We start from the raw sequence: 19,611 nt of genomic DNA, 5'->3' as shown, positions 1-19,611 counted from the left end.
GGTGACTCAGGTACCATTTAGTAAATTAATATTTAAGTGCACTAAATTTGATATACTTACTTCAAAGTGAATTTGATGAAGTAAACATCCATTTGCTTGCTACTCTTATTATTTGTCATGTTTTTGCCTAATGCTTATACTACTAAAATCTGATGTTTTTTTTAATTTGTAAAGACAAGTGCCTGTTATACTATTTGACTTGCCATAAAAGGGACTGCATCAAGTTCCTGGAAATAGGGAGACACATCATTTATCATAAAACTTTACCTTATAACAAGGAGCAGGGTGGACTTACCAGATTAAAGAAGAGACAGAAGTTCACTTCAAGTTGGCTTAAAGCAAATAACTACGGTGTAGGAGAGGATTTACTGACCTACCTAGCTGAAAAAATAAGCTGTAATTAGGCATGGAGGAATCCAAGACTTCAAGAATTTTGTTATTATCTACCCCATATTTTCTAGAGTTTGTTTCCTATGTGTTGATTTTAATCTCCACCAGGCTCTTCATGCCTGAGATCTGTGCGTAATGGCAAAGATGATAACTGTCTCCTATGATATATCCTATACTCTTCATAGCAAATGAAATGTATCACATTTTCCCTGATAGCATCAGCAAGATAGCTTCATCTTTACCAGAATCAGTCACTACAGTAGCAGCAGGCACCATATTCATATTGATCAATCTACAGCCACAAGCCTTCCTCTGAAAAGAGGTATGAGGGTAATCCCACCCAAACTACATGGGCTGAAAGTTAAGAGAGTGCATGTTGTCTACTAGAATACAGATGCTGGGTGAGAAAGAAAAATCAGAAGTCAACCTCATAGTCCAATATACTATTAGCATTCATTCTAACATAAACCATACATAAAAAAGGAAAAATAAATTATATATCAATATAATATTGGACATAAACATAATTTTGACTGTTCATTATCAAGGTAGGTGTCCACATAGACTAAATTTAATTTGATAAATGTAAGTTTTTTACTTTAAGTTTTCCCCTTCCTTCTCACCATTTGAAACGCAAGGGTCAAATGCTGTAGTTAAGGCTTCTATACTAAGTATTAAATTAAGGCAGCAGAGAAACAAGTTTTTACATGGTTTATATTTTCTAAGCTAGGTAAATGAAACAGCAATTCAGTGTTAATCAAAATAACTATGGCCCATAGTTTGAGGTAGGAATAAAAGTTCTGACAATCTTATCCTTCATCCTTACTGGAATCTGCTTACCTATCACTTGGTGAGAAAATTATTCTACTGACGCAACATTATGTAGAAGAATGTCCTACAAAAAAAGAAAATAAGCATGCATTTTAACAGTGGCAGATAGTAATTCTTCAGTCTCAGTATTAAGGTTCCAAAAGGTAAAATATATCTGTCACGTATTTCAAGAAAAATGATAAGGGAACAATAAAATATGTTCAAAATATCTAATAAGTCAATTTTAATTGAGAGAAGTTAAGCATTGTAAAATACAGAGTAATTCTATCCAATTCACTGAACACCTTAAATGTGAGAAAAATACACAGATTTCTATTGTAAGTTTTAGAAGCTTTGGTGCCTACATTACATCCTTGCTGATCTTGGCTACACAGCTGTAGTGGAGCACTCAGTGCACTGTGACAGCCTCCCCACTTGTAAGGCAAAGTGAATCTGGCTTTCTGCCTCAAGGCTTTGCTCCCAAGTTATTTAGGAGATTGTTAAGCACACAGTTATTAATACAACCCTGGGACAGTATAGGAGTTAAATGTCTCTAAACTACCCTTTACTGAATAAGGAATGAGAGATGGTGGAGAAATATCTCTGCCCCATGTATATAAGAAAAGTCTGGATGGAGTTTCTGGGAAAAGCCAATAAAAGAGTTGCACACCAACCCCTAAGGATCTAGAGCAAAGCCTTGCCTTTTATGGAAGATAACAACTTAATACTTGTAAAAGGTTTCCTGGATTCTTAGTAGAGACTGAACACCTTTTCATAAAACATCAAGTGATTATGGGAATAAAGCTGCCAAAATTGAGTACCTAGAGTATTTTCTGATCTACCAGGTTATAACTGTCAGGGAAGCATTGCAGCAATCCATTGTACCATGGAAATGATGCATTTGGGATTGAAGCCAAAAAAGCTCGAAGAACATAAAAGTTATTTCAATGAGTAGTTCAAACCCCTATGTATCTTACAACGTTACACTTAACATCTGTCCCTAAGCTCATTCTTATGGCCTTGTGACTACTGTAGTCTGGCCAAGAAAAGTAGGTTGGAATAAGCTATAATCTTCTGCAGCTGATCTCGAGGCATTAATTAATAGTTAGTGTTTCCTTTTCTATTACCCATTCTAGATTTGAATACTGATGGTAAAGAAAATCTAGATTGGATGAGTGAAGAAAAAAATAGTGAATATCATATTTTCAGAAATAGTTGCAGAAGTAAATACTGATTCATTCCACTCGTTTTATGGTCCGGTTTTTCCCCCCTTTTCTTTTCTTTCTTTTTCCTTCTTTCTTTTTTTTCTGCCCCAAGAAATTGCACTTGACCCCAAACTGGAAAAGTTAGTGAGATGGATTTAACATAAATCATGAGACATTTGAACAATGCAAGAAGTGAATTCTAGTAGACACTTTGATTCATCGTTTGCACCTTTTTGAATCACCTCTGACTTCATGCACAAATGTGGAGGAGAGGTTGTTGCATGCTGAAAGTTATATTCTAAGCACTCATGGAATGGATCTCAGGCTTTCTGCTTCAAGACTTTACATTGAAGTCCAAGATTCTGCTCAGTTTGAGCAGGCCCAACTCAGAAATGTGAAATGGTCAGCTCCAGAAAAGATTGTCAGGGGAGCAAAGGCACAGATACTTTAGCCTTTAGTCCTTCAAAAGAAAGGATCAGGGAAGCACTGTACCTATATCTCAGCGGTCCTTTGACAGTCATCTTCATACCACACTGTTTATTAGCATTTTCTCTATCACTTTCTCACTTTACCTGTTCCATTTCCATACTCCCTTCTTATGTTTTATTTTACAAAGCAAATTCATGCAACCAAAGTCTTATCTCAAGCTATGCTTTTGGGGGAACCAAAGGAGCAATAGTTATAATAACACCTAACATCTATTATCCCCCAATTCGTCATTTTAAGCAATGTTTTATTCTTGCTTAGAGAACACTGAAAGTGTAGTAAGATATAACTTCCAGAAATATATGACTCTCTTTATCTTGTATTTTGTAACAGCCTAAACTTACTGAAGGAATTATGCCTAATTATTTAGGGGACATGGAGAAAGCAAAAATGGCTTTGTGAAACTAGTGGAAGCAGAGATTAAGAACCCTGATGTGACAGTTAATTTTAGGTGTCAGCTTGACTGGGTTAAGGAATACCTAGAGAACTGGTGAAGCGTTACTTTTGGTAAGTCTGGGAAGGGTGTTTTCCGAGAAGAATGTCATGTGAGTCAGTGAACTGAGTGGGGAAGGTCCACCCACCTGCAATATGGGTAGGCAACATCTAATGAGCTGGGCTCTTGGATAAAAGACAAAAAAAGGAGAGCAAAACACTTTCCGTCTCCTGAAGTGAGGACTCTTGTCCTCCTGCCCTTGAACATCAGAACTCCAGGCTCTCCATGCTTGGGACTGAGAATTACACCATAAACTTCCCTGGTTCTGAAGCTTTTGGATTTGGACTGAGACAGGGCACCTTCGTCCCAGGGTCTCCAGTTTACAGACCGCCTGTCAAGAGATTTAGCCTTCATAATCATGTGAGCCAATTCCCCTTAAGAATCACAACTCATATCTATCTATCTCCATGTTCATGTCTGTATCCATATTTATATCCCTATCTATATATCTCTCTATCTTTTCTATTGGTTCTGTCTCTATAGAGAACACTGACTAATACATCTGATATTTCAGCAGGCCTTGTGAAGAAAGGACCAGAGCTACTCCACAGCACTGCAAAAGGGTATGGTGTGACCTCAGAGAAGATGTCTACTTGGCATGGTTAGGTACGGGCGTTTCCAATCAGCAAAGTTTCTCATTGTCCATAGACAAGCAAAGAATTGCTTGACATCAAATGAGCACTGAAAGTTTAGATACATGGAATTTTAGTAGCGACCATTTTTGATTGGTTAAAACTGCTTACATCAATTAAGCATCATAGGATTATCTCATAATCTAGGATGGAAAGTGGGGGTGGCTTTAATAATCAGTAATATGGCTTTTTCCATATTATTATGTGTGGGTGTTCTTAATCAGGATTATATTAACTTAAATTTTATCTGAGTTTATGGATTGAGAATCATTTTCTTTAACTCTTTAGTTAGATTAACGCATTTATATCTCAAACAATCTTACAAGGTCATTGTTACTGATGCTTTGTGTGTACCAGAACTTTTTCTAGATCATAGTCAATGTAGGATCATCAAAGAAAAAATATCTTTCATTCCATCTGAGAATTAATACCAAAAGGAGTTAGTAAAAACAATTGAATATGAAATATTTTTTCTAAAAGCTATATGTCTGCTAAATTTAGATTAGATTTTATAAATTTTAAGATCATATTTTTATATGTAAATGTATATTTAATTATAATATGTCTAAGAATTGGTAGTTTGCCACACTTTAATTGGCAGGGTTTTTTTTCTTTCTTAGAGACATAAAATACTAGTTTGTCTCAATTAACTTACATTAGATAAAATACTCAGAACTGAGAAGTTATAAAATTCTGCAGTTTGTATTTTATTCCAGATTTTGATATTAATCATTAAAAGACAAACTTCAGAGAACAAACTGCTGCTGTAGAATTTGTCTAGGACACATGATTGTACACTGGACACATGAGTGCACACTGGATCATTGCCTGACACATCGCATGAGCTGCCACAAGTCAAGATTATCTGTTTTCATAGAAACCACCTCATTGATTTCCAGAATCAGAGGAATATGCTAGTTTTTCAAGTTAGCTCGGCTGCACAGTGTATATTTCACAGGCAAATTATTCATAAGGAAGAGGGGGTGTTACTCTCAGGCTTTTTACTGGAAAGCAGAAATGAGCAGCAAGCAAGGAAACCTTGTGGAATGGTGCTATATAGATATACAGTTTTCCTTTGGGGAAAATGTTTCAAAAAATATTCACTTTTGTTGTATTATTTGAAATCATTTAATTGTCATATAATTTGCTTGCGTATTTGGAAAACCCATGTTTGGAAATACATTTCGCTACTGTAGCATTTTTTATTTACATCATATAATTTTTTAAATTAAGGAAACACTTTAACAAAGCTATTAGAAAATAATTTGAAAAGAACAAGTAGGTGCATTCAATTCAGGAATATTTTTTTACCAGTAGATACCTAATATGTTTCATAATTTCATTATTAGGTTTCTGTAACTCCTCCTATTTATTATGACAAGAGTTGGTTCTGGAATTGATGATACTGTACCACAGATTTTTGTAAAAGGCAAATAATTACATATTTTAATGCTAATATTAGACTCAAGATGTCCTAAAACGTGCCACAAAGCAGTGGAAAAATGTTCATGGCTACAATATAGGAGAGAAAATCAGTATGTGCAGTTAGCATAATAAAGAGAAGAAAAATATATTCTAGATATAAACAATCTGATAAAACTGAGTTAAGCTTAAATTAGTGAGGGCAAATAATAAGGATAGAAAATAGAATATGATTAAATAGGCAGAAACAGAGAGAAATTAACAAGAAAATATCAACAGAAACAATAATCTAAGATTCAGTAATAATAGCAATATAAAAAAGATGCCAATATGCTAACTGGGGAAAAATTCAAAATATTAGGAGCAAAGAACAAGATAAAATCACAGATAAGTGGAGAAAAAATAGGGATAGAATGTATAAATTAAGAAGCTGGAAGCTGATAAATGAAAGACAAAAAGCACAAGATGAACACAACAAGAAAATATAGAGACCTTATCACTGGAAGGAAAGGGAGAAAGTAAAAGAAAGATAAGGGCTCAAGAAAGAACAAGATGAAAGAAATCAATCCCACAAGAAATGTGACTCTTGTCAGTTATAGGTGGGAGAGATGTTTCATTTCAGACAGCAGGAAATGAAAGCTTGATAGGTCAAAGCTGAATGACCTTACTGAAAGTTTAAGTGAGAAAAGTGACCACTGTGATAATAAAAAGGAAAGTGAAATAAAAATTTTGATTTATGCTTAAGCCGAAGGTCATTTTAGTGCTCTTATGTAGACGTACATTTTCAGCAAGAAATTACCAATATGTTAAAAATAAAGTTTCAGACAGCATATGAAGAAATGCGTAAGATAATTTTGCTGTACTACACAGTACAGTTTTGAGATAACAGAAAGTTTGTTGTGAGATGCAAATTACTTTTCCTTGATCTCTCTGGGTCTATTATGTGAACATTTGACATGTATGACCTACTGTAACTCCTGATAATACAGTAGTGCATTGAAACTGAGACTTACCAAAGGGAGAAGGAAAATTCCTAAGTATATTTATTAATCTAATAATTCATATACTTATACTATACATTCTTAGTTTCTCTCTGTTTCTATGCTAGGTTCTGGAAATTTAAAAATAAATTAGGTGCAGCTCTTGTCCTTTAAAATTGTGAAGTAAAAAAACAGCGGGAGAAAGAGATAAGGAGTCAAGATCATTAGAGAGAATGATAAATGTTCTCATTGATATAAGCACAGGGTAGTATGTTGAGAGGAAATATTTGGGCAGGATGAAATTTCCAGACAAGAATAGGAGGCAAATCAATGCAGGAGTAAGAGGGCAACTAAGAAAGGGTAAATCTAATTCTATTTACATTTCAATGAAGATATGAGTGACAATTATTAATGGGCCTTTAAGAATTCTTATACCTTTGTTCCTTTTTATGTTTGTTATATTTACCGTGGTTTTCAGATAATTCGTTTTAAAAAGCACTTGTAAAATTGATGGTGTTTTTTACATAAAGAGGAAGGAAGGGGACAAATTAGGAGAACAAATCTCACCTTTTTCTCTCATTACCACGTACATGTGAACCCCCAAAACAAATGTGTTCAGCACAAAACACACATACTTCCCCAAACATAGATGGATTTATCTTCTGAAATGTTTGTGAAGCTCCTTTTGGGTGCAAGGAACAGAAAATACTGGGATTATCTCCAGTATCAAAGATTCTCATAAATATACAGATAATCCTCTTGGTAAATTTGAAGCATTTACAAGAGTAATTCTAGCTTGCAGGTCAAGTCCCCAACTGATATGCCTTGCTTCTTCTGCAAGCAGTTTATAGAAAGGGGACACATAGACTGTAAGAACGGAAACACTTAGTACTTTAGTAAATATAACCTAATGAAACTGAACACCTCATTTAATAAAATTATCCTGCTATCCAGCACCTAACATCTAAGTTTTATAGTATTATCTCATGAAGAGCTCTCATGAGTTCTTTAAATATATTCAGAAAGGCCCTTTATGTATGTGTCAGCAATAGTAAGCAATAAACGAGTAAGATTGGAAATCCATCTGCTGCCTATAGCTAGAGACTGGGTTAAAATGTGATCAGTAATAAATGAATGATAACATATAACCTCACTGCTTACAAATCTATTTAAGACCTTGCATATTACACATAGCTAAATCATGGAAGCTACCGTACCCATGTAACCTTAGCAAAGAGGCTGCCCCATACCAAGTTTCCTACCTTAGAGAAACAGTAAGGCTCCACAAGTTAAGCACATCTTCTCTGGCCATAGCTGAATAGACTAGGAAAGATTAGCTGGACCACAAGCCACAATTCATGAGCTGGCCAGCAATATCTAAGGTGGTCTGTCAAGAAAAAAAAGAAAGTGGGAAAATGTTAGATGCAAGAAGATTCTCTTCTTTGGAAAAATAACCAGAAAATACGAAAGCATCAAGAAATTACTATTCAAAATAGACAATAAAACTGTGGATATATGTAAGGTATGAAGCAATAAAAACAATAATGGGCAGTAAATTGGTCCCACATCATGAGGAGATAGAAACACAAATAAGCAAAAACCACAAGACACAAAATCTATACAGAATAGCACTGGCAGATGCAGTGAAAGAAAAACTAAAAAGAAGATAAATGACAATAATGACAGAGATTGATAAATTTATATAATAAAGAAAAGATATAATGTAAAATGTAAGCGTTAAAACTTCTAGCTTGAAGGATATATCACTGTCTCTATGGGCCAAGCTTTATACTCTGTTATTTCTATGAGAGTTTATGTTCATTACGCCTATACATATTTTTAAAATATTTCTGTGCTGCCTGAGTTAGACTTAATGTATCGCTTTTAGAAAACCTAAATAATCCAACTAATATAATGATGCTGAGTACAGACATTTGCACTGTTTCTCTATGTGTTATTAAATTAGTAGAAGGCCATTAGCCTGAGGCTGTCTCTGTACTTTTTGAGTTCCTGCATAACAAATTGCAACCTAACTTAGTACATACACATGCCAAAAAGCTAATTTAGGAATATAACAAAGCCAAGTTTAGCCAATCACAGGCAGCCAGTTCATCACATTATGCCCAAATAAGGCACATGGTTCATTATGTCATGCCCAAAGAAGGCAGATGACTCATCACACCATGCCCAAATGAGGTGGATGCCTAAGTGTAGCAAATGACTTATCTACTTTGCTTCTGTGTTCACCCAATAAGGCCTATAAAAGCTCCCTGCCCATACTGCCAGGCAGGGCTCTATGAACCTCCTCTGGTTCTGAATGTCACTCAGTTAAGGAGTCGTTCTTTGCTCAGATAAACTCTGCCAAATTTAACTTGCCTACAAATTAAATGTTAACAATCCCCAAATGGTATGAAAATTTTCATATGTCCATGTGTGCACCAGCCAGTTCCCTTTTCTTTCCACCACAGTTATTACTGGTGTCGCTATTTAGGTCCTCATGATGGTGAAGGGTGTATAATTTCAAAAAATGTCTCCGGCTTGGGAGGTAGTATACAAATAGTGTATTAACTGAGCTCTGGAAAGGCTTTCAAGCTCTGTGATTTATTCTAATAAATAGTCATCCAAGGTGTTGTGAGATGTATTTGTATACTGGAAAAAATGGAAAATTAAGATTTCTTTTGTGATGAGACCATGCTTTAACTAAAATACTCACAAATATGGCCAACGAGGCATTTTTGCTACAAAAAGCTATCGTTCAGAACACTAGATTTGAATATTCTCTCATTTTACCTGTTATGGTTTGGGTAGTAATTTAGTTTCTCTGAATCCGAGATGACTGATTTGTAAAACAGGGTAGTATGGCAGTGCTACTTAATGTATAGTCCTCTTATGAGAAGCAAAAAGAGAAGCACTTGGTAAATTTAAAAAGATAGCACAAAGCCAGGCGCCATGGCTCACGCCTGTAATCCCAACACTTTGGGAGGCCGAGGCAGGCAGATCACAAGGTCAGGAGATGGAGACCATCCTGGCCAATACGGTGAAACGCCGTCTCTACTAAAAATACAAAAAATTAGCTGGGCGTGGTGGCAGGCTCCTGTAATCCCAGCTACTCAGGAGGCTGAGGCAGGGAAATTGCTTGAACCCGGGAGATGGAGGTTGCAGTCAGCCAAGATCGTGCCACTGAGCACTGTACTCCAGCCTGGGCAACACAGCAAGACTCCGTCTCAAAAAAAAAAAAAAAAAAAAAAAAGATTGCAAAATACGAGGCACTGGTGTCGACATCACTCTATAAATGAGAGGGAGTTTCTCACCTGTCGAATTTAAAGCCCACACAACACTCAAAAAGGCAAGATGTTTCTATTAGGTAGAAGAAATTCTATCACATCTTCACCCACACATCTAGATGAGGAATATAGCATAGTATGAGAGTGGCTACTATACATTTATTTATTCATCTTATTTTTATATGTTTTATATTAAAGCAGTTACTTATCTAATGAATGAAGCTTAATATTAACTATATAAATAGTTTCTCTTTTCTATAAATAATTGATAGAGAATTTCTAAATGGGAGAAAGTAATCCAAATGTAGTTTTTTATTCGATTATATAATGGACTTATTCATTACGTATATATTTAATAAATGGTTTCAAAACATGTCATGTTTCCTTGACTCAAGCTGATGTCAGTTAATGAAGAGACACATACAACTTTCGGTGATATTTTAACCACACAATCCATTGCTCCTGCTAGCTTTATAATCCATTGCTCCTGCTAGCTTTCCTCTTCAGCCATATCATGTCCTTAGTTTCTTCTGTAAATAGGTTAAATCCTGATTTCAGTAGAATACCTTCAACCCTCTCAACCTTCACTCATTTTTCTTATTTCCTAGACCAGATACCAACACTAGATTAGCACAAATTCCTTTCTTCTCCATTCCTAAATCTTCACCATTGTACATGGCTGAAGTATGCATATAATCATGTTGAATAGTTTGACTTTAAAATTTATGGTCTCTAACATTTAGAAAGACCTAATTAAATTCTTTTCAATTTTCAAACTTTCAAAATTTCATCCTCATACTTGTTCTTAGATGATGACTTTTATTCCAATTTTCCACAGTCTGAAGAGAACCTTAACACCTTCCCACCACCACAACCCCATCTCTGTCTTTTCTTGTATTTTTTTTTTTTAAAGTCTTGCGCTGTCACCAGGCTGGAGTGCAGTGGTGAGCTCTCTGCTCACAGCAATCTCCACCTCCCGGGTTCAAGTGATTCCCCTGCCTCAGCCTCCGGAGTAGCTGGGACTACAGGCGCACACCACCACGCCCAGCTAATTTTTTGTATTTTAGTAGAGACAGGGCTCCACCATGTTGGCCACGATGGTCTTGATCTCTTAACCTTGTGATCCACCCGCCTCAGCCTCCCAAAGTGCTGGGATTACAGGCGTAAGCCACCACGCCTGGCCTGTCTTTTTTATTACTGAGGTGTAACATTCCATGTACTTGGCCAAAGACTGCTCTCTTACTTTTGAAAGAGAGACCCCATTTGCTCTTGTCATTCAAGGACATTGCTTAAGGAATTCTCAACAATTTCTTCTACATATTTTCAAGCAACATATAAACTTTCTGTTATTTCTGTTCTATTTTTAAGAAGCCTCTTTGACTATTTCCCTGGTTAGCTACTAAATCATGAATTTTAGTTTTTACAGAATTACTCTTTGAAAGACGTTTGTATATTTGGTCTAATTTATTTCCTTCCATTCCTATTCTCCTTTGAATCCAGTTAAATCAAGATCCTAATCCCATTACTTTGCCAAATCTGTTTGTCAAGTTTCCAGTGATCTTCACATTTTCACATCCAGTTGTCAATTCTCTGTCTTCGCTTACTTACTTCACTCCTTCCTGCTGAAATTAGGCCTTTACATGGCTTTGAAAACATAAGATTTTCTTGTATTTCTTTTTCCTCAATAAACATTTATTCTTTGTCATCAGTTTGGATTTCCCTCATTTATTAAGGGCTTTCTACCTAAAATAATTTTGTAATAATTCCTTCTATTCTTGTGGCTTTAAATGATATCTAAATTCTTATAACTTGATATAACCAGCATTAAATTCTGCCCTGAACAACTTCATATTGGGTATACAATTGCCTCTTTAAAATATTCAATTGATTATCTAATAGAAGTCTCAAAAATAACGTGTTCAAAATTCAGCTCCCATTCTACCCTCCCTATCACAACTTTCCTTTCTACAGTCTTCTCTATCTTAGCCATTGGCAAGCCCAACATTCTAGTTGCTTTAATGAAAAACCTCAATTATATACTGGACACCTCCCTTTCACCTAGAGCTCACAGTCATTCCAACAACCTATCTTGTTGACTTTATCTTCAAAATACATTCAGAATCTGATGACTTTTCACAACTACTGTTATCCTAATTCAAGCCACCCTCATCTTTTGTTTGAATTATTACAACAGTCTCCTAATGATTCCCAGCTTCAACCCATGCTCTTATCACTCTCTTCTTAAACTAGTAGCCAAGTGACCCTGACGTAAAGCAAGTCAAATTATGCCACTACTTGTATTTGATATCCCCAATTGCTTCTCATACCACTAAAAGTAAAGCTTATTTTTATCTGAGATTAAATTTATTATATTTTATTATTTGTACAATTGGAACAATGACATATTTATTAGCCAAGGAAGTTGTAAGAACTAAATTAGAGTATGCTACTTTTAAAGTACACCATAAGAAACAACATTCAATGATTAAACAAATATTATTTTCATTATCTTATGTCCTTGGTCTTGCTCCATATTTGGTCTGTGATACATATTTCAAGAATATACCAAAAGAATAGTATAGTATTTTCCTTTTTCTTCTATTCCTTTTGCTTCTAAAAATGTAAAATTGCACAAATGCAGTTTTACTGACATCAAGACACACAGCTATGGATTATGTTATTTAATATACTCAGTCCAAAATGTTAATGCTTGTTAATTTCTTCTTCTTTTTATTAGATAATGAATTTGAATTTCATGGGGATCTTCAGTGTCTCAAATTTAAGAAGTAAATTTTATAGTAAATATTATGGGAATCAAAAAGTGAGATCTTTGACACAATAAAGGAGATTTATTGTACCTTATATTTCACCAATGTACGTAGGTTCCTTTCTTACTGCAAGAAAGGTCACTTGAAGATCGAATGTGCTTGTATTTTTCTTAATATGTTAATAAAGCAGAATAGCCATTTCGTTTTGTTTCAGGTGGTTTGTTTATTTACAAACACAGACACAAAATTATTTATACTTTTCTGTTAAGACACCATCACTGTGGTCACTGTGGTCAAACACATACTTGTGTTCGAAATTTGGGCAATTTTTTGTGGTGTTACCTCAGGCACTTGTATGCACTCAATAAATGGTACCTGTATTCATTATTACTTCTTATAATTCTGATTTATCAGAATCCTTTTTGACAATAAGAAGCAAGTTCTCCTGCCATTTTAGCCATTCATTCCATTGCCTCATTGGTACAGGGAAGGAGTGAAGATCTTAAGTAACTTACCAGGTACAGAAGCCAATTGAGAAAAGTAAAACTTACCTTAGAGTAGAGAGAGAGCACTAGCACCATACTGGAAAGTAAAGCATACAGAAAAAAAGATTGAGGGTGAAGCAAGATTAATAAAGATGGGAGTAAGGTACACCAGAAAATAAAAAGTGTTAAAAATAATAAAACCAACAAAAGCAATATCAATAACCAAAAGGGTTATGCAATGCCCCATGGTCAACTATAAGCACAGGGCTTTCTCCTGTAAGAGCACATTTCAAAAATCCTAATTTTAGTCATCATTCATAGAGTGCAATTAAAGAATGGACTAATGTTTTTGTGTCCATGTCAGAATAAACAAAGAGACAAGGTCAACATTACACAGAATAAACAAAGAGACAAGGTCAATATTTTATCTCCTTGTTGGTATGTTGGTGGTTATATGTTTTATATACAGTTATACACAGGTGTACAGATTATATACAGTTCCCTGTATTGAGAAAGATTAAGAGAAGGGAAGAGGACGTAGGCTTTGAATACAGAACCAGCAAGATAGAAGGTAAAGCACATTTATGAAACACCCACTATACATCAGAGACTGTATGTCTCTGACTGGAAAACAATTTAACCTAACATATTTTATAACCAGGTCATTTGTGCCAAAAAATGGAATTGTATTAATTACAGAGATGAATAGATTTCATAGCTTCCTTAATAAATTAATATAGCAGCCTCATGCTATCATTTCATTACATCATTTGAGGGGAGATGTTTGGTAAAACTGACATGAAGTTTTTTTACTTACAAACTTTTTATGATAGATTAAGCCATTGAATATTTTTTAAAAAAGAAATATTTTATAGATTTGATTCAGTAGCTGAGAGATATTTATAAGTAAAGAGTAGGCTATAATTCATAATTAATACTGATTTCTGATTAACACAATGCCTTATAATTAATTCAAAAAGAAAGCAATTTTAGGTAAGTCATCGAAGAGATTTTTAAAAATTATCATATCATAAAAAAGCCAAATTATCTTCCATGTTTTAACTAATTTAGTTTTCTTTATCTGCAGATAATACGAATTCATGTACAAAACTTAATTTTATAATTTCTCCAAATACACACACGCATTTGTGTGCATGTGTGAATTACATCCATATTTTCATCTTTTATAAGAGTTCCCTGTATTGAGGAAGGTTAAGAGAAAGGAAGAGGCCCTAGGCTTTGAATGTGGAACGATCAAGACAGATAGAAGGTAAAGCACATTTATTGAGCACCCACTATGTAATCAGGAACTATATGTTTCTCTTAAATGCCCCAGCTAATCCATGATGGATATTTCCCTATACAATTAAATATATGAGTTAAATGAGGTTTTAAGGTTAAGAGATAGATATAAAGTCACAATGGCATTTACTTGGTATTTGAACTTTGACTACCATGACTCCTAAACTCGTGTAGCTAATATTGCATTACACAGCTTATAGGTTGCCCTTCTTATACATTCCCAAATGACCCCAATCAAATTATTTTGGTTTTACTTCACAACCTGAAAATTTTAAGAGGTTTTACACTCAAGTTCCATTTGGAGAAAATACATATGTTCAAATATACTGCACTAGTAAGCAAACACCATATTTCTTAGCAGAGTTCAACAAAAACTTAGGTGGTTTTAGCTGTGTAGGTGAGAATAACATGAAAACAGAAAATTAAATCTGAGTTTAAGTGAGAAAATAACAAAAGCTTTGTTGAATAATTCATAATAATAAAATTCAGAGGATTTAGTGTCATCAATGGAAAGCTTCTGAGGCAAATGGGAAAAAATATATACTTTTCTTATTCTTGAAGAAGTGGATATAGAGCACAAAGGTTCATCCTATCTACAAAAAGAAAATAGTTTGCTGGATGCAGACTAAATCATAAGGAAGGGCCTGTAATCCCAGCACTTTGGGAGGCCAAGGTGGGCAGATCACCTGAGGTCAGGAGTTCAAGACCAGCCTGGCCAACATGGAGAAACTCCATCTCTACTAAAAATACAAAATTAGCTGGGTATCGTGGTGGGTGCCTGTAATCTCAGCTACTCGTGGGGCTGAGGCAGGAGAATCGCTTTAACCCAGGAGTTGGAGTTTGCAGTGAGCTGAGATTGTGCCACTGCACTCCAGCCTGGGTGACAGAGAACCCATCTCAAAAAAAAAAAATCTATATATATACACACACAAATGTGCACACATACACATATATATATACATACATACACATATACATACACACACATATATACATATATATGTATATATGTGTGTGTGTATATATATGTGTATATATATTATATATATATATGTATCTGAGCTCTCTAACACAAGATACTTAAAAGTCCTTGATGGACTTAAGATTAACCCTGTGTGTGTGTGTGCACACGTGTGTGTGTATGTGTAATAAAATAAAAGTCAAAAGGTCTTGGATGTTTCATCATCAACCAATGTCAATACATTATTAGATATTTACTATGCTCAGAGTACCAAATCTGAATTTCTAGACTAGATCCTCTTTTTAGCTCCAAAATTCTATTTCTAAAACCTACCAAGCTTCCCCACCTATGGGCAGAACAAGCAAAATATTTCAAAAATAACTACCATAATGCTCTTCCAACCCTCACCTCCAGAAAGATTTGCTTCTTTTTCTGACTCCAGCACTCCAGTATCACAATAGCACAATTACGTACCCAATTTCCTTTGCCTGGAATTTAAAAATATGTTGTGGAGTATTGTCAGCTCTTCCTACTATATATCGCTTTAATTCCCACCGCTTTCTACATTGCTACTGCCTTTACTAAACCTCATGTTATCTTTTTACCTAGATTTTGTTATGGGAAACTTGATGTGACTAGCACACCTTTCTGATTCATTTAGAATTTTTTGTTCTAAATTTGTTAAAATGTATAAAAGATCATTTTACTTCCCTGCTAATAATATACTGTATAATGATTATGATGATTACTTCTTTTTGCTTCTTTTCTTTAGTAGCAGAGTTCTGTTTTTCAAACTAAACCTTTTGCACAACCCAATTAATTAAAATAGATTGATGAAGTGATGCACTAATTGCTAACTCCATATGACCACAACACCCTCAATTTTGCCACCAAAGTCCATGACAACTTAAGGTATAAAACTAACCATTGCAGAAACAACAGCAACAATAAGTGCTTTTTAGTATGTCATACCTGCACACAATATTCATTGCCCAGTTATATATAAATCAACCATAATTATTTTCCACATAATTGCCACATTCTATACTGTTTCTATGTCTGTAGCATTCATCTCAAAACTTTGGTGCGACAGTAAGACATCACCTTGTTCTTAGTGTATTATAACATTTGTTGGTACACCTTAAAACTAAGTATGAGTTTGGAAATGCTTAGTTACGGTATAACAAATTATATCATACCTGGATTTAAAAATGACACATCCTGGGGTAGAATGCAAAGCACATAAAAGACAAATATGCATTGCAGAGACAAGGAGAGATAATTGGTCCATTTGAAAATAAATATCTATGACAGCTGTGAGGTAAGTGACCACACGAGCAGCTAGAGAAGTGAGAATGAAGAGAAAAAAACTAACAAATTAGGAAGAGCCAAGGAGCTACTTCACTAAGGCAGATTCTCATTGTGGACTTCTACATATGTGCTAACTGTGAAGTAGAAATTGAAGTAAAAATTGCTTTATGTATTAAGATGAAGATGAATTACTTTTTTGAGACAAATGATTTCTTCCCATGTGTCTTTTACCTTGAGAAAATAATAAGAAAACGTGTTTATCAAATATAGAAAACTTTGCTGTTAATCTTCCAACTAATGGCTTATATTATTTAAATTTCCTTTTGATCTTAACCTCAGACATATAATTTTTGCTTAGCTTTATTAAGTTGAATATGTTGTTTCTGTTTTCTTCATACTCAAAAGTAGCCATTTTAATTGCTTTATGAGAGGTAGAACAATAATAAGAAAAAATGTGTAAGCTAAATATTGCCTATTTAAAAGTTATATAAATATTAATGAAACACACAAGCTTGGTTTAAAAAAAAAGTCATAGACATGTTTTCCTATCTTCACTGAGTTAAAAATATAGGATGAGACAAGCCTGATCTCCAGAAACAGGTTAAACATGTCAATATTGCAACATGGTAAATAGAGGAGAGAATATTAAAAGTTTATAGAATATTCTTTCCTTAAGGTCATTAGGAAAAAGACTCGCATTCTTATAAAGGGTTTGTTTAGATAAGTTTTACACTAAAGACAACAGAAACACTGGCGAATCCAAGGTGACTTCCAGTCTTACTTTGTATTCTAAGGAATAATGCATTTATTTTTGAAATGATATTTAGGATCAAAATAGAAGGAAGTCACAGAGACTGATCCAGCTGGCAATAGGGAGAAAATATTTCAATAATTCTGGTGAAACAGCAGGGGAAAGCAAGTTATTGTGTATGTGAGTAAGCAAGGAAAATAGTAGCTGAACCTGATTACTTCTTACCCCAAATGGATGTGCCACTGCTACGGAGAAATTCCATCTAGTCTTTAAAATGAGTGTGAACTAAAGTAACGTAAAGAGAAGCTAGCCGAGCACAGCTAATCAAAATCTATCAGAAAGCATTATACTTGGCATTGTGCTTGGTTCTGTATAGAATCAAATTAAATGGAACTGGGATCTTACCCTCCAAAACTCCGGCTTTCATTTGTCAACTACCCCTTTGCCTGTTTTTCTGATATTAAAAAAAAAACTTCAATACTCAACAGAGAATATAAACTTTCTTCTTGGGAAGTAATTCTTGCTGGTTCAGTACAACTGAACCTGTGATCTCTTATTTAGGGTAAATATGGTCAAGCAATGAGGAAATATGGGGAAAATAAATTAACAGTGAGTAATTAATCTTCTTTGTCAGAAACAAAAATTCACTTTTGATGCTCTCCTGTGCACAAAAGGGAGTACATTTCTGAGTATGAAATAACCATGGACATTTTGTATCTGCGTGTCCTACATTACAGGTGACATAAAAACGTTCCTGAAGTAGTGGCATTGCTAATGATTTTATCACAACAACGTGCTATTACTTTCAGTACAGCCAACAAATTTCTCCACTTGACACTCTTACAAGGAACAACAGGGAATCATTTGTGACAAACTTTCATTGATGAGGACAAATTCTGATGTGAACTTAGCTAATGGGCTTTCATCTTATGATGGATATGAAATGTGAGAAGTCAACAATGCCATCTTAGTTGTAGGAGAACATAAGGACACACTATCCATGTTCAAAATTCATGAACAAAAGACATTCTGTTTCAATAATGATAAATTGCCAGCAGGAAACTTATAAAAGGATATTCTCCACTTTTTCTTTCTGAACAGTTATTAAACATTAAACTGATGCAGACATCATTTTGGTTTTGATGTTTAAAAAACGTAATACCTTTATAGCAGAGACTAATGAAGATTAATTTACTTTATTGTTGCTCATGTATATTTAGCCTGATAAATGTATATGTGTGTACATGTACATATATAAATACATATGGGAGATATATCACATAAACATCTTTAGCCTAGGGAGTAACTGTTGCTTCAATATCCCGTATCTACTCTTCCTAGCTAAAACACAAGACCACAGTCTATTGCACACAGGCCAGCACACGTCTCCTGGCATAGTACAGCAGGGTCAGAAACATCTAGAGAGTCATAGAATGTCAGCGTCACAGCACAGTCAGGGCAAGCTGATTGAACTTTGTCTACACTGGGATTGTAGAATGTTTTGAGTGTTACTGAATGACTGTTTTGACAGATCAGGAAACCTGAGTAAGAGGTTTTAAGATAAGTCAGACTTTATTCTGCAAGAGACCAGCACACATCTTTCAAGAAAAGAAAGAATGGTTAAGATGTGTTTAATAAAACATTGTGTCTCACGTAGTTTACCTTCTAACCTAGCTTCCATGCACTCATATAGTGAGGCAAGAGGCCTGCAAGAAGAGTTTAAAAATAAATATTGGGACGTTGAAAATCTGATTCTTACTATTTAAGCCATGGTTGTATTATTAATGTAAGCCTTCAATGACTTTACAAAGGCTGTTCAAGGGCAATAGCAAGGGAGTCAGCAGCATTATCACTTTTTCAGTGTTCACTGGCATTAGATTTGCAAACTTGTATAGTACAAGACATCATCCTAGTGGAATGAAGCTGAAAAGGAGAGTAGAGTACGCAAAGTTGTGAAACACCACTTGGATGATCAAAAAATGACTTGGCAAAGGTGTAAAGGGAGCTCAAGTTTTCACAGTACAGGCTTTAAGGCACATAAATCCTCACTGTGTTCCATTATTAAATATGTATGCGAATCAAGATTAATAGTATCTCAGAAACAGAGATTACATACAAATAAGACTACCGAAGCCCATTATAGTCATCAATGTGGAATCAGAGTTTAAAGTCTTAACTCTCAGATTAATGTTCTCCATTCTTTAGATTCTTTTTCATTAACCAGGAAAGCACTTCTAGTATAAACACACAGATTAAAGACACTATTCAATCTGTAGAAGAAGATGACTATGCCCTGGTAGTATCCCTGCAGCTCACTTCAAAGATCTAGTG

General features: G+C 34.7%; 1 long non-coding RNA gene across 6 annotated transcripts in view, besides 1 other annotated feature; it reads right to left on the bottom strand.

The window, feature by feature from the left end:
- Window positions 1–19,611, bottom strand: part of LOC105370236 (uncharacterized) — a 78,736-nt gene that overhangs the window by 38,002 nt on the left and 21,123 nt on the right. For 5 of the 6 annotated variants that reach the window (XR_942019.2, XR_942020.1, XR_942018.2 and 2 more), the window contains exons 3-5: window positions 7,681–7,805; window positions 1,231–1,285; window positions 296–381 (exon numbers count right to left, since the gene is read on the bottom strand). This is a non-coding gene — a long non-coding RNA (uncharacterized LOC105370236). The remainder of the gene's footprint in view (window positions 1–295; window positions 382–1,230; window positions 1,286–7,680; window positions 7,806–19,611) is intronic. The other variant, XR_942022.2, reaches the window with a different exon arrangement.
- Window positions 8,417–8,711: an enhancer, noted in NCBI's record as "tiled region #1301; HepG2 Activating non-DNase unmatched - State 24:Quies, and K562 Activating non-DNase unmatched - State 24:Quies". NCBI's record gives its function as "activates a minimal TATA promoter and a strong SV40 promoter by Sharpr-MPRA in HepG2 and K562 cells {active_cell/tissue: HepG2 | K562}" and the evidence as "EXISTENCE:reporter gene assay evidence [ECO:0000049][PMID:27701403]".

Source organism: Homo sapiens, chromosome 13 (genome assembly GCF_000001405.40).
Source record: "Homo sapiens chromosome 13, GRCh38.p14 Primary Assembly".
In the NCBI taxonomy this organism is placed as follows: Eukaryota; Metazoa; Chordata; class Mammalia; order Primates; family Hominidae; genus Homo; species Homo sapiens.
This window is presented reverse-complemented; position numbering and strand designations above follow the sequence as displayed.